Here is a 15,054-nt window from a genome sequence, read left to right on the forward strand (position 1 = left end):
AGCCTCACAAATCAACACCTAAGGAAAAGACTTAACAATACAGTGGATGCTGATCTCCATATTGGATTATGGATCAAAATTTTCTGGTGATTAATAAATATCAAGTATTATGCACAAATCCAGATTTCCTGAAACAGAATCTTGGAGGTGGTTGTAGAGGAAAAAATGGTGGGAAAGAATCCTGGGAATGTGTATTTTTTTTTAAATTTTTATTTTTAGTTTTGGGGTACATGTGCAGGGTGTGCAGATTTGTTACATAGGTAAACGTGTGCCGTGGTGCTTTGTTGCACCTATCAACCCATCACCTAGGAATTAAGCCCAGGATGCATTAGCTACGGGAATGTGTATTTTTAGTAAGCCCTCCCTTTTCTACCCCAGGTGATTCTTAGGCAAGCCATGGGGCAAGTCTGTGGTCAAGCATTTGGGAACCTCTGGTATAGTAAAATGTACACTGAACAAAGAGTCAAAAAACTTAGGCTCTAATCATAGATCTGCTGCTAATTTATCTGGGACAATTTACTTAACCCTGAAAAATTTGTCTTCTTAGTGAGGCGCTTCGTTTCTTGATAACTTTTCCCATGCTTTGTAAGGTTCATTGGTGCCTAATATATTGTGATTCATCAGTTTTATCTTTCATGACTTTCTAAAGCAAACCTCTAATAGAAGAGTAAATACACAATTGCATGATTAACTTCAAGAGAAGATTAAACTGCCTATATATTCCACAAGCAAAAATTCCTAGCTCAGGACTGAACTGTGTCCTGCACCAGGAGCTTGCACATGTGTATAACATATTTTCTACATGTGTCCATTATCTGGGTTATATCCATTAATGGTCAATAAATTAGAAAAATCTGTGGCTGCCCATTGATTCTTAACATTTCAAAAGTGTGTTACCTCCAAAAGATATCTACCCCTAAACAGCAATACAAGAGATTTGCAAAAACACAACTATCTTCCAGTCTTATCAAGCACCATTCTGATGTTCTAATAATTTATTATAATTAGCAAATAGAAGTGTCTGTCAATAAAATCTAATAATTTTCCGATTACTGACTTTAGTCATTACATATATAGGCTGTGTATATGCCTACATCCATATTCCTACATCTAACAGTGCTTAACTGGCAGAGAAGAGAGGCTCATGAAATAGTTGTTGAATTAATAAAAGAAGCAAGACAAGAAGGGAAGGAAGAAAAAGCAATAGAAAAAGTTGGGCTTATTTTAATGAGGGTCATGAAGTTTTCCATCATTGGGCACGTCACCATCCACCTCCATTAGCTTATGAATCTTCCATAGGAAATATGTTGGGGCATGTGGACTTCCCTTAAATGTAAAACAAACAAACAAACAAACAAACAAAACCCCCAAGATATTTAGTAGAAAGACTTTCAGGATTTGCTCTGAAAGGAATAGCTCACCTTTTTGTAAACAGAGGCTTTCATTGACCAGTTTTCCCTCCTTGTTGACATCTATTTTCATCCAGCTATGGAGGTATTTCCTGGCCTTCTTGACCACTACTCTGGAGCCTTGTTTCTGGAGAAAGAGAGAGGCATTTTCCACCTCAAGGAAGCCTTCCTGATCATAGCAGGTCCATCGGGGTGCCTGGGAACAGCGGTCCAAGATGGCTGAGCGGGAGGGGCCGCGGGAAGAGTTGGAGATGGCCAAGCACAGTGCAGATTTAACATGAAGGAGCTTTTCATCCTCAGTCCACATCCACTGCTGGTTCTGGATGGTCCTGTTGCATGAGCCCACGACCACTTTCTCATTTTTGAAAAGACACTGTTGTTTCTGGACATGGACAATCTGAAACCCTTCTGGAAGATGAAAAGCTCATAAAGCACTATGTAGCAAATTATGAGGCCCATTAGAAAACGGAAGAACCCACCCACAAATGAGCTAAATAAAATCACTAGTTTTACTTATATTTTGTTATTTCTATCATTTCAAGTGAACATTCTCATATTTAACACATGTGATTTAAAATTCCAAAGCTGACGATATAAAATGTCAATATGTTACACTTAACTCCCCATCTTTTTTTTTTTTTTAATTTTCACATGCTTTAGGGGAAAAAAGCACACCTCTTATTGGAAAATGAAAGGAAGCTTGGAAAGAAACAAAACCATCCAAAGTATATAGTATATTTTAGCCCAATTAGTTAGATATGCTGAAGTTATGAAATGCTCAGCTCCCTTTTTAACCATTTGACATATTCGATATAAGCTTCCTCCCTTACCTTAAAAAAGCACCCCCTTTTCCAGTCTTTAAATTCACATTGCAGTATTTATATACAAATTTCATAGTTTGAATAACAATTTTTTAAAATTGCATACATTTATCAAAAAATAAAACAAATTTTCCCACTTCTCCAAGCACAACCTCCTAGCTAATTGCAGCCAATGAAAGTATTGATTATCACAAACTAAATTTCCTTTAGTCGTGGAGAGGAGCATTTCTCTATTTTATGACAATATCTACAGTTTTCTCTCAAATACGAATAGATTTTCTAAAAATCATCATGTGCCAGTGTAAGAAAATTAAACATCAAATTGCTAAACATCAGTATTAAAGAGCAAGATACTCTGGCTCAGAAACCATTTTCAATGAGGTTTTACTTAAATTGCCCAGCTCGCTCATGAAAATGTTCAGCCCTCCCAAATGACAACTTCCAAATAAAACACACTACATTTCCTCACCCCCTTTAATCATATTCCTTCAATTTTCTTTCTTCAACACAAAAGAAAATAAAACTATAACCGGGTCGGAAAAAGGCTTGGGGAAAGCCACAGACTGTTATATAATAATACAAACTTTTCCTCGGGGTTCTTTACGCTCTGCTCTAAATGTATCATTTCAGGGGCTGCCTGAAGCATTTGGAGGATGAGAGGAGAGCATTTATTTTCTTTTGGAGAGAAATCTCAACAGTATGGGCATAGCTGGCTCCTTTTATTCCTGCTTTTCATCGTCTTTGGCTAAACTGCCATGGAGACCTGGCCCCTTCTACCTTATTTCAGACACTTCAAAGACCAGGGACTCCTTGGCTAGATCTTGAAGAAATGCCTCAGGACACTGAGGCAGACCCACTCACCTGAGTTCCTGAAGATCAAGCAGGTAAGAATCACCATGTAAAATTCAGCCTCCATTTTCCACTTAGCAACTGTTCATGCTTCGCTTGGGGAAAAAAAAAATTCTCCCAGATAAGAGAAGCAAAGACTAGGAAGGAAATGTGCCTTCATGGTGGGGGGAAAAGTCAGTGACGAGCACTTCCTCCTATTGAATTGTTTGGGGAAGTTTTACACCAGTGTCCTTTTGTCTGTTTCCTTAGAAAGAAGGGATTATGATTACCTCTTTTTTTTAATGTAGAAAATATTCCAGCCTTCAAGAGCAGAGTAAATCTCGTTAAGACCTCACCTACCTTTCCTTTGGCATGTGACTGCTTCTTAACCTCAAGAAGAAAGAAAGGAATTGAAATCTCAGATAATTGAATGTTCCTGAAACATTACATCTCTTCAGGTGATGTGATTCTGCTGAATAAACATAAGCCATGTAATTGATGAGGGTCTATGACAAGTGATATAAAGACATAAACATGTACTGTTTGTATAATGATATGCTGCGAGTCTATTGAGGAAAACCACATAATGATGGCACTTCTAGATCATTATCTCCCAAGTGATGACAATATTACATTTTGAGATCGTCATCTTCACTGGGGAGATGCAGACACTAAAATTAAACCCATCACATTATCTACTTTGGTCTTCCCCAAACAGAGGATGGCGTCTTTCCAAATAGAAAAAAAAAAAAGAATATGCTTTACTCAGTATTTAGTATTAAGAGTTTATTGGCAGTATGAAACAAAGTCAACATTGCTGCATTAAAAATTCATATATGAGCAGAACAGCTAGTGTTTGCTGAGGGTAGTTATTTTAATTTTTTTTGTCTCTTGAAGATTGAAAGCTTTCAGAAATGTAAGGACATACATGGAAATGTCCTTATAAGGAGCCTCGAAAATGGGACAGATTATATCATTCCTGAAGGCATATACCTTTTGTTGAGAGAGAGATTCCAGGTAGATAGCATATTCAAAAATCCCTTCTTAGCAAAAGAGAGACAAGTAGTTAAAACTCTTGATACTTCAGAGTTGCTACAAATTTGTTTTTCCCTTTTAAAGTAAAATGACTCACGATGTGGAAATACAGTGGATAGAGTTCTGGAGCAGAAGCCACCTTTATGCCCAATAATAGAGAGTAAATACATATATACCCAATGACAATCATTGTGCTCTGTAATTGTTTGATAGGAGGGACTATAAATACACATTTAATAGGTAATATTATCAAGACACATTTCCATATAAAATAGTTACTGTTTTTGATTTTTGTTTTTCAAAAACAAAGACTTCTCTGTTAAAAATCCATTATCAATCACTTGCAACTTTAGCAGCAAGATTCTGGTAACTGAGAAAGGTAATAGCACTTCAAAACAGGAACAGTTTAACAGCTGACAGTCCATTCACAAGACAGATTTTGCAAACATTAAAGCATCTAACACATAATACGAATGTCTTCAGCAGCTCATCCAGTCATCACCTGATGACATTTATTACTGAATATTACATACATACATTCTGTGTGGCAGATAGAGTCAGTACAGACAAAACAAAATCTGCCTTAGGCTGTGTGATAAACCTATCATACCTCCATCATCAAAAAACCTTCAGAATAATTTGGGGGATGCTTACAAATGCATTCATATACACAAGGAGCTGGAAATCTTAAATATGTTGCCCAGTCTTCCACAATCCATGCCATACATGGGCTTCAGAGCTTCTCCTTCCTTCCATTGCAGGAAGCTCCTTCTAGAAGCCTTGGGTGGGTAATTTGATTAATCACCCCAAGAGATTGATGGTCTGACAAGTCTTCAATGACTCACTGGACAGTCTCTGCTGAAAGTCTGCTCTCATACAGGCACAGAGCATGGTGCACAAATTCATACTGCTCACTGGTTTGCACCATTCCACCTCTGCAAGGAAGAAATCATAAAATAACTGATTTTGCTAAAATCTTGCAATTTCAAGTAACACAGAGATTTCATCCAAGCTAGGGTATTATGCCAAAGACACATAGAACAGTCGACCTAGTGGTTCTTTTGTTATCCCTCTTACCTGTGTCCAAATGTCTCAACTATCAAAGTTAACATGGTAATGTATATAAAGGGCTTAACACAGTTCCCAGCACACACTAGGCACGTGATTAATTTTTACCTGTGTAACATTACTGGGGAGGTGGTACAGCCTAATGATCAAGTACTTGGATTTGGCATCAGCCAAGGTGAGTTCAAATCCCTCCTCTGCCAATTCTTAGCTGTATGCATCTTGGACAAATTCCTCGAAACCCCTTGCACTTTAGTTTCTTCCTCTGTTAAAGCAGGATAGTAACAGTAACTACTGCTGTGAAGGTTAAATAAATTCATTGTAGCTGGTATATTTGTATTACTTCTCAGGTGCCTCATGATTCATCTCTTGTTAAAATGGTTTATACATTTGGCTTAAAATTGATTGACGGAGACAAACCAAACAAAACTCATCTGCAAAATGTTGCTTTCTACAAGTAAAATGAAGTCTACCTTGGAATGGTTTATTTGAATATGTTGTACAGAAGCAACCTTAGCCTTTTGGTGTACGGGGTGTCTAAACACAATAGTGGGTGGGTCCTTAAATGAGTTGGAAAAAGGGAATTGGCTCTGCTGTGACATTTTCCTCTTGGTTATCACCATTATCATCACTAGCTGCCCAGCACCCTCCTTGTCAATGGATTCATAGAAAGCACTTGCCTTCATGAGAAATAACGGTGCTTCTCATTATGTTTTTATATACATAATACCTATATCACATTTTCCCCCTTCATAATTATGATCCTTTTTTAATTTTAGTTTTTGAGAAAACGTCTCCTTAATTGCTTAGGCTGTTGTGCAGTGGCATGATCACAGCTCAGTGCAGCCTCAACTTCCTGGGATCAAGCAATTCTCCCACCTCAGCCTCTGGTGTAGCTGGGACCACAGGCACCACCACACCTGGACAATTTTTAAATTTTTTTTTTCTTGTAGAGACAAGGCCTCACTATGTTGCCCAGGCTGGTCTCCTGGACTCAAGTGATCCTCTTGTCTTGGGCTCCCAAAGTGATGGAATCACAGGCTTGAACGACGGTGTCCAGTCCTATAATTATGATTTTTTAGCTTGACAAAGTTACCAGACATTAATATGTTACTATTCCTGCTCACTGTATAAAAGCATCACTATCGGTAACTATTTAAAGTCTTGTAAATTCTCTGTAACTCTGCAATCATGCAACTGATCTTATCTTTTAGTTTAACTCTATGTTTTAACCAGATTTTTCCAAGTGGTTGTTAGTATCATTCAAAATAACTTTCAGATTATTTAGGCACTTCAACTTAAAAACAAGATATCTTGTCTCACTGTAACAAGACTTCTAGTTAATGGTAATAATAAAAACTGGGCTTCTATGTTTATTTGTCAATCTATGTCAATATTAGAGCAGTAAAACTTCCTTGTTTTAAACTAAACAGTGATTCCCCAGGAAAATTAACATGATGTCAAAATGATGTAATTGGCAAAAAATAAAGAGGTAAATTCACAGTTTTTGGTGACAGCAACTTATTGACAGAAGTATTTAATTGGTCTTCCTCCCCTAGAGCTGTACATTTTGTTGCATTGAAGGCAACCTTCTGGGCTAAGTATTCCTTGGTCAGAAGTGAACAACAGAAATGGCCAGCTGAGAATGTGGTAATGGTTTATCTTCTTAGCTGTGTGATGACATCTGGGCTCATCTAAAATCATAGCAGGTGTTCCGAAGATGCTGGCTTGAACTGTGAAGCTTGGGAGACACCACCACAGTAAATATTAGGGTAGCTCCAGGGAGCTGAGAGGTGCCTCCCTTCCTCTGGCATTTGCACAGCTCAGGGCACCATTACTCCCTCTTGAGCTGCAGACAGTATGTGGAAGCTTCTATGTGCTCCACCTCTTAGGCTCTGGTCTGTCAGCTTCCTCTCACCATTTACCTCACTTTGAGGCAAGATTTTCCCCTTCTTGTATGTTCTGGTCAGCACTGGTATTTACATGTCCAACTGGTGAATGAATGGAGACACAGTTTAGAATTTAATAACTGTTTCACCCTAAGTGGGTCAGTGGTGTAATTTAATGGTTGGAGTATATTTACTATGACATTCTGTTCACTAAATCAAGGTTGTTTTAGCCAGTGAAAGTGGGGAAGATGGAGAAGCATACTCATTAATTGTGGGCTGGCAAAATTCTTGCAGGTCTGAAGGCTTCAGGAAAGTATATGAAAAGTTCTCTTACCTCCCACTTAATTTGGAAAATAAAAATGAAAAAAACTGGCATCAGAGGAATTCTTAGAGATCATCCATTCTAGTCACTGACAATATAGCTTTTTTAGAAATCTTGCAATTTTAGAGGCAGCCTTTTCCAAGGTTGGCAGGAAAACTTTTAAGACATCAACATGAATCTGTCCTTTCTAACTTTCACCGCATTGGTCCAACTGAAATAACCCAAAAGACGTCTTAAGGCTCCCCTGTAGTCACACAACAGCTCTCCAAAGGCTGGAAAACAGCCATCAAAGTCCTATAATCTTTTCTTCTTTAGACTAAACATCCTGTGGTCACTCAATATTTCTGTACAGCCTGGTTTTTCTGTCACTCACCACTCTAGTCTCCCTCTTCTACAGGCTATTTTATCAAATATGACCTTCTTAGAGAGTTGTGTCTCCTTCTGATGAGATCTATGAAGCAGGCTTATTTTCTCTTCCAGCTGCACGTTAGAGACCAATAGATCTGTGTTTGCAGGTGCATCAGGTGGTGAGGTCCCCCAGTGCCTACATGGTGCCTGGTTCTCGGTAGTATTTTAAGATACTAACTGACGGTGTAGATTAAATAAAAAGTCAACAAGACTTTTTTTGAATGTGGACATTATAGCTTTCTCCCATCCTGTAATTATGCTACTGGATTTTTGAAACTAAATGCAAGGCTTTCTATTTATTCTTGTTAATTTCAACTTGTTAGTTTCAGCACAATGCTCTTGTTTACTGGATCACTATCTATCGTCAATATATTAGTCTTCCATTTCTCACTCCCAGCGTTGTGTCTCCCAGGTATTTAACAAGGATCCCTTACATCTTTTTATCTAAGGCATTATTAAAAAATAGAAAAAGAGACAAAGTAGGGTCTTTAATATGAGTAAGTTGATATCATGATATATACTATCTAATCCCATTCTATAATTATTTCCAACTAGGTTGTAGGTCCTTTAAAGACCTACAAGCATAATGGCATGGTCTTCTTCTACTTGTAACAATAAAAAGCACTTACGAGTCCTAGGTAAATACTTGTCAAATGAATTACCCAGGTCATGCTATTTTCATGTCATGTGAAAACAGATAAACTCTAGGCTAAAAGAAAGCAAAAGGTATTCCAGGATGCATTCACTGGAGGCTGGTTCAAATTCAGGAACTCATCATAATCATCTCTGAAAATATTAAATAAATGTCCTATTGCATATATTGATATATAGAATAGTCTATTGGCTGGATGCAGTGGCTCATGCCTATAACCCCAGCACTTTGGGAGTGCTGGATGGATCACTCGAGCCCAAAGTGGGAGGATCACTTGAGCCCAGGAGCTCGAGACCAGCCTGGGTAACATAGTTAGACCCTGTCTACAATTTAAAAGAAAAATTAGCTGGACATGGTGGTATATGCCTGTGGTCCCAACTACACAGGAGGTTGAGGCCAGAGGATAGCATTTGCTCTATAACAGGTAATCCATTCTTAGAAAGGTCAACAGAGTCTTCTTTCTTCTTATTTTTGATATGGGGTCTTGCTTTGTTGCCCAGGCTGGAGTGTAGTCATGCAATCACAGCTCACTGCAGCCTTGGCCTCCCAGGCTCAGGTGATTCTCCCACCTCAGCCTCCCAAGTAGCTGGGATGACAGGTGCATGCCACCATACTGAGCTAATTTTTTCTGTGTGTGTGTGTTTTTTGTGTTTGTTTTGTTTGTTTTGTTTTTTAAGAGAGAGAGAGGGTTTTGCCATGTTGCCCAAGCTGGTCTTGAACTCCTAGGCTCAGGCAATCCATCCACCTCAGCCTCCCAAAGTGCTGGGATTACAGGCATGAGCCACCATGCCTGGCAAATGCAGTTTTTTAGATAGGCTGGTCATAGCAAAAAAAGAAACACCTAAGAAGCTAGTACAGTGTCTGTATACAAAATATATTTATGGAATAAATGTATAAAGCTTGGTTAACTATGGAACTCTCAAGAGAGCTCTATAGTTATTCATCCTCAGGAGAGCTCTGACTTGACTCCAGGAAGCTCTTAGGTCAGATAGGTTTCATGGATTTGCTAAAATCTGGATCTATATTACTGATATAAAGTTCCCAATACAAAGTGGTTCTGGGAGGTGAGAAACAAGGGTACTCTTTTTCTTACTTTTTTTTTCTTTTTCTTTTTGGGGCAGGGTCTCACTGTGTCATCCTGGCTGGATCGTGGCTCACTGCAGCCTCAACCTCCCAGGTCAACTGATCTCCTTAGCCTCCCAAGTAGCTGGGACTACAGGTGTGCACCAATATGCATGCACCTTAAATTGCAAACAGAAGTGAAACTTACCTCAGGTTCATATCTGATAAATGCTTATGTTAGAACTAAAACATAACCCCAGCCAATCATAAGCATCCAACTCACATATTGTTATGTCAGTAAGGACTTTCCAATACAGTACCTGAAAAAAGGCAATTATGTAATTGCAAACCAACCAAATAAATTGTTTGTTTCTGTACTTTCCCAATAAATACTTGCCTCTGGCGTTTTGTCATTGGAACACTAAACCTCTTTTGGTCTGGTGTTTCCCAATGTATGACTGGCTTCTTACTAAATAAACTCTTTAAAATTTTATTGTGCGTCAGATATTTCTTTTCCAGTACACGTTTGTTTTCCCAGGAGGTATAATACATTAAGTGAAAATACCTACTGCTAAGCAGGAGTTAGTTTACCAAAAAAGAGTAAGGTCAAATAAAAATGTCAAGAGAACCCCAGCTAGCTGAGAGAATGGTGCCAAGTTCATTACCAGGGGGGACCAGAGTATGTTAAGAGGGAAAAAGACAGCATACACTGTTGTCAAGACAAATTCTGTCTCCACCACTTACTAGATATTTTACCCAACTACACAATCTCTGCAGTGCTCAGTTTTTTCATCTGCAAATGATGCGACAATAAAAACAATAGTTCCTACTTTATAGCATTGTTGTGAGAAATAAATGGGACTATCACTTAACATGTTTAGCACATAGCCAAGCACATATCAATACCATAAATGTCAACTATTATTATTGTTATTGTTATTGTTACTCTTTGGTACCATCTGGTCAAATAGGACTGGTTAGGAGGCTCTGGAGTGAGGCCCCCAAAGACCCTGGAGAACCAAGAGCAAATCTGGCAGAGGACATTAGTTTGCCCATTAAGTTCCAAATATCTTTCTAAATATTGACCAGCCTAGAAGACAGGCACAGTGGAGGCAGATGATGAAAATAGTAGGCTTGGAGTCTGACAGATTCAGGTTTGAATCCTTGTTTTTTTAACTTACTTAGCTAAATGATTTTAGACAAGTCATTTAGTCCTTCCCAACCTGGCTTTTCTCACTTGTAAAATGGCATAAATGACAAACGTCATCGGGTTGTGAGGATTAAATGAATCAGAGCATATCAATGTCTGGCTGAAGGCTATTCACAGAATCCCCAGAAGCCCAGGGTTCTACAAAGGTGGCTGAGGACCCTGGGCAGGGCAGAGGAGGAGGATGGGTCATTAGGACTAGATGCCAATCCCAGCTTTGACCAGGGAAGTTGTGTTTTTTATTGGTTTTCTGTGTTGGTGTTCTGTGGAAGATTCTGCCTGCAAAAAGTTTTCCATTGTTCACAAAGAAGTTTGAAAACCACTGGCCTGGCTAATAAGGTATTTAGGTATTTATCTAATAAGGCTTCAAGTTTTACAAGGTTTAAATGAGAGAATCCACAAAACTCTTGGCACAGTAACTGCCCTTCAGTGAGTACTAAATAAATGCTGTGTATTATTTTTCTTATTCTTAGTTAATACGACACCTAGGGTAACCATGTTTGGAAGAGTTGTGGTTCATTGGTGTTGTCCTGGTGTCATTATCAATTGGGTCACCTTTCACTCTCAGAAGTACCTTGGTTTGGATGATAAATTATTTGTTCATCCTAATGATGCCCCATTCCATGCTGTGGAAGAAAGTCATTCCCTTTATTGCAAAAGTGGTGTTAGCCACGTGGCTTGGATTTCTTTGTGCCCACAGACTATGAAATGCTGTGTTTGGCCAGGCCAGAGAGGATTCAGATATACTACCCTCCTATAAATGTCAGATAATCTCATATCACATTAGCCCTGCCAAATACAAAGATCAGTGTCGTCTCAGTCTCCGTGCAGAACAGCACGTAGCTGTGTCAGCTGGGGGTAAACTCAGGTTAGAAAGGGAAAAAAAAATGTAGTTTTTTCCCTTTGCTACTGGGAGGGTGTTTTGAAAAAAACCTCTCCAGATGCCCAGGAGAGAGATTTGGCTTTTAACATGTTAAAATTTTGACCTTTTGTGACTATTCACTCACACATACAGAGAGCAACAGCCTTTCCTGTCGTACCGCCCAGCCCGTATCCGGTCTAATCAGTAGACAGAAGAAATTCTGCAGTGATGACTCACTTCTGGGCTAACAATGAAACTTATGCTCCTTTGCTTTTTATTATTTTCAAATCTGGAATTCTTTTGGTAAAGTTTGGTACAGTAAATTTAGAACAAAAGGTGTGGACGTTAATGTGCCTCCTGGGTAAAGTTCCAAGAGCTTGGGCATGAGTCAAGTGAGGCTACTGTCTGCTGTGCTTAGCCGGGGTCAGCTGTAAGGTGTGTCTGGCCCCTTGGACAGAGGATTTCCCATGGCTTTACACAGATGTCATATCAAGGAGGGAGAACTTAAATGTAAATTTGGCCAATTCTGACCAGGTATTTTGAACATAGACACCTTCTCCAAAATAGATGTGTTCTAAAGTATTTGTAGGTCATAAAAATCAGCATATATCAAATGATAATTCAATTGATGAGTCTAACATATTTTGAGTTCCATTTTTTTTTCCTCTGAAAATTAGCCGTTTTCCTCTGAACACTCAAGTTAACACCTAATTAACTCCAAGCTAGGAAGAAGGAAAATGTCCTGGCAGCCACTTGGAAGATTCAGTCAGCATAATATGTTTTACAAAGTAGACCTCTTGTTGTGATCTCAGGAATTATAATGTCAAGTAAATCCACACCAATTTCTAGGGCTTTATCTCCAAGTGTCCTTAAAATAAGCAAATCAAAATGTTGAATTCCTGATCTTCAAATGAGATCTTTGAAGTTCATTAATTAGAGGAATCTTTGTGATTATTTGGGAATGCAGAGAAATATGGATAAATGTAAGGTTACAGTTGATAAACCTTAGACCAACAAGCAGAAACTTTAGTTTTGAAATTATTTCAACCAGGTTTTGGAAACAAAAAATATGTTGGGGACATATATTAGCCTTGGAAATTGATGGCATATATATTCTTCTGAGATGGCTGTAGTTAAAAAAAAAAAGAAAAGAAAATCATCGAACTGAAGTGACTAATCAAAACATTTAAACAATGATATGATGCACATTGGAAGCATCTTTTTATCCTGTGTGGGAAGCCACAAGTGAGGCCTTTGGATGTCATTCCAGTTTAAGCCCTCTAAGGTAAGGATGTACAGGCAACTACAAATTCCATCCTTGACTCTTAAAAAGAAGGATTTGACAGATAATTTCCTGCTACTCAGGAAGAAAAAAAAGAGGAAAAAAAAGGCCTTGGAATAAGATATTATTTTATATGTTTCACTTCCCAGGTTCTGTTTTAAAATTCTTCCAGTGTCCAGTTGCCAATGGGATTAAAAGGAAAACGATGAGGAAAAAGTTATCTGAGGTCAATCTGCAATGGAATATGTTCCTTTCCTGCCTGCTTAGATGTCTTCTGATAGTCACGAATTGATTTGTAGTCATACTTCTGTAATATCTATATGCATGTGAAGCACTGTCTGATGTTAAAATATAAACATCATCTATAGTAATAAACTGAGACACTGCATCTCTCATGCTAAATGTGTAAATGACCTTCTGTCACTATCTCAAACTGTAGAACCTTGACATACCCAAGCCTAAATGAATCTTTTTTAGCAAGAGCTACATGCAGCGAAGCTGGTTGGCTTAGCTTTATAGCAATTGGTATTTTTAACTAGGTGGTATAGTTGAACAATTTAGTGATATTTGAGATTAGAAGGTTTAAGTATTATATGGAAGGGCTTTCTAAGTAATAAAAAATGATTATACTGTGTTCAGTTTAGTACTAATGTTATGGATCTTTTTTTCAACTATAATTTTAAAAAATTGACCTATACATTTACGGTAATCTCCTGTTAATAGGAAAATGTGATTGAGCAAAATATCCCTTTTGCAACAATGCTGGCCAACAGAAAGTTCATTGTACTTATCATATTCAGATATTAATAAGTAATCTAAACTAAAATAATCAGAGATAAACAATTTTTCCTGGTTTATATAGCAACTAGTTCAGGGTCATTGCTGAAGGCAGGATTAGAATGTGAACTTCCTCTCTCTTCATCTTGAGTGTAACCCACTTAGGCTTCCCACTGCAGAAAACAACAGCAGAACCCCCAAAATCCAGAATTTAGTCAATCTAATTTGAGCAAAATTGAAAGTTCAGTTCAGAGTGTTTTATAAAAACTTCAAAATTGGTCATGTGGCCTTGGAGATGTCCCCTTTTTTGGTTTTGGATTCTTCCTTTAGAATGAAAACTTTGGGCAATATATTCCTGAGGCTAGATTTTAAAAAAAAACCCACCCTTTTCCTAGGAGATGTTTGGCAAATGTTATGACTATTGCGGCTATCCCATTGTTCTCCACATAAACAAATCTTCAAAGACTCAAAGAAAGCAAGAGCTGAGAGGGATCTCAGAAAGCCAGTTGGTCACTCTGCAATCACTGAATTCCAGCATGGAAAAGCATCTTGTTAGAGGAGTCCTGACATCCACTTAAGCTTTGTTGTGAGTCACACAATGAATATTAACTTGCAAGCATTAAAATACAACAATCAGGTGGAGGTCCATGAAATATCTTACTCTTGATAGTAAGATATTTCTGGTTTTTATACCAGAAAAGGTTGGAGATCACTGTTACGCCCCACATCTCCTTTTACTATGTAGACAGAGAGGCCTAGAGTGGACAAATGGTCACACAGAAAATTAGGGGGCAGAGCCACGCACCAAGCTCCTTGACATCTAGTCCAGAGATGTCCGGCACCTCATTCTTTTGCTAGTCTTACCAGTGTTCAGTTGCAATTGCCATACCACCCACTTCATCTTTTAATTAAAAGCGAATGCAGTGGGAATGAAGGGATGATCCCTTAATGCCCTTCTAAATAAAACATTCGTGGGTGCCTTGCACTGAATTTGAACTCCTACTTGGAAAAAAAAAAAGAAATCTTATTTTAGTTCAAAATATGCTCAAAAGTATTAGTAAAAGGAGAATCACAGACTCATGAATCTGCAATGAGAACTGAGCATCTATTAATAGAAGTTGTCACAAAGCCAATAAAAATAATGTCTTGCCAGAGAATGAGGAATCTACCAAATGGTTTTGTCATTGTTATACTGGAAATATCCATTCAGCATAACACATTCGTCTCTGAACCAGACCATTTGAATTTATTACTAAAATGCAGATTTTTAACTTGAGTAGAAATTGCTTGTTCTTTTCATGTTAAATTACAATGACCAGGCATTGTAATTTTTGGGGTGGTGGTGGTGGAAATCAAAATTTTAATCCTATCCAGTGTTCAAGCTCTTGACTGATCGGTCATGAAATGAGCCCCATTTCAAGTATCCAAATCACTG

General features: G+C 38.1%; 2 protein-coding genes across 11 annotated transcripts in view; both read right to left on the reverse strand.

Annotated features, from left to right (window-relative positions):
- PTPRB (protein tyrosine phosphatase receptor type B) overlaps positions 1-3,180 on the reverse strand; it is a 121,560-nt gene extending 118,380 nt beyond the window's left edge. For all 5 annotated transcript variants that reach the window (XR_944651.2, NM_001330204.2, NM_001109754.4 and 2 more), the window contains exons 1-2: positions 3,092-3,180; positions 1,422-1,817 (exon numbers count right to left, since the gene is read on the reverse strand). Coding sequence is in view for 4 of the 5 variants with exons in the window: in NM_001330204.2 (NP_001317133.1) it covers positions 1,422-1,817; positions 3,092-3,146 (451 nt within the window). In the remaining variant the exon portion in view is untranslated. The remainder of the gene's footprint in view (positions 1-1,421; positions 1,818-3,091) is intronic.
- Positions 3,824-15,054, reverse strand: part of PTPRR (protein tyrosine phosphatase receptor type R) — a 282,666-nt gene continuing 271,435 nt past the window's right edge. For 3 of the 6 annotated variants that reach the window (NM_002849.4, NM_001207015.2, NM_130846.3), the window contains one exon: positions 3,830-5,028. In NM_002849.4, coding sequence (NP_002840.2) covers positions 4,935-5,028 — 94 coding nt within the window. In that variant the 3' untranslated portion in view covers positions 3,830-4,934. Of the gene's footprint in view, positions 5,029-5,269; positions 5,424-15,054 lie in introns of all 6 variants that reach the window. The other 3 variants (XM_011538615.3, NM_001207016.1, NR_073474.2) reach the window with 2 other exon arrangements.

The sequence above is a fragment of the Homo sapiens genome, chromosome 12 (assembly GCF_000001405.40).
Source record: "Homo sapiens chromosome 12, GRCh38.p14 Primary Assembly".
Lineage (NCBI taxonomy): Eukaryota > Metazoa > Chordata > Mammalia > Primates > Hominidae > Homo > Homo sapiens.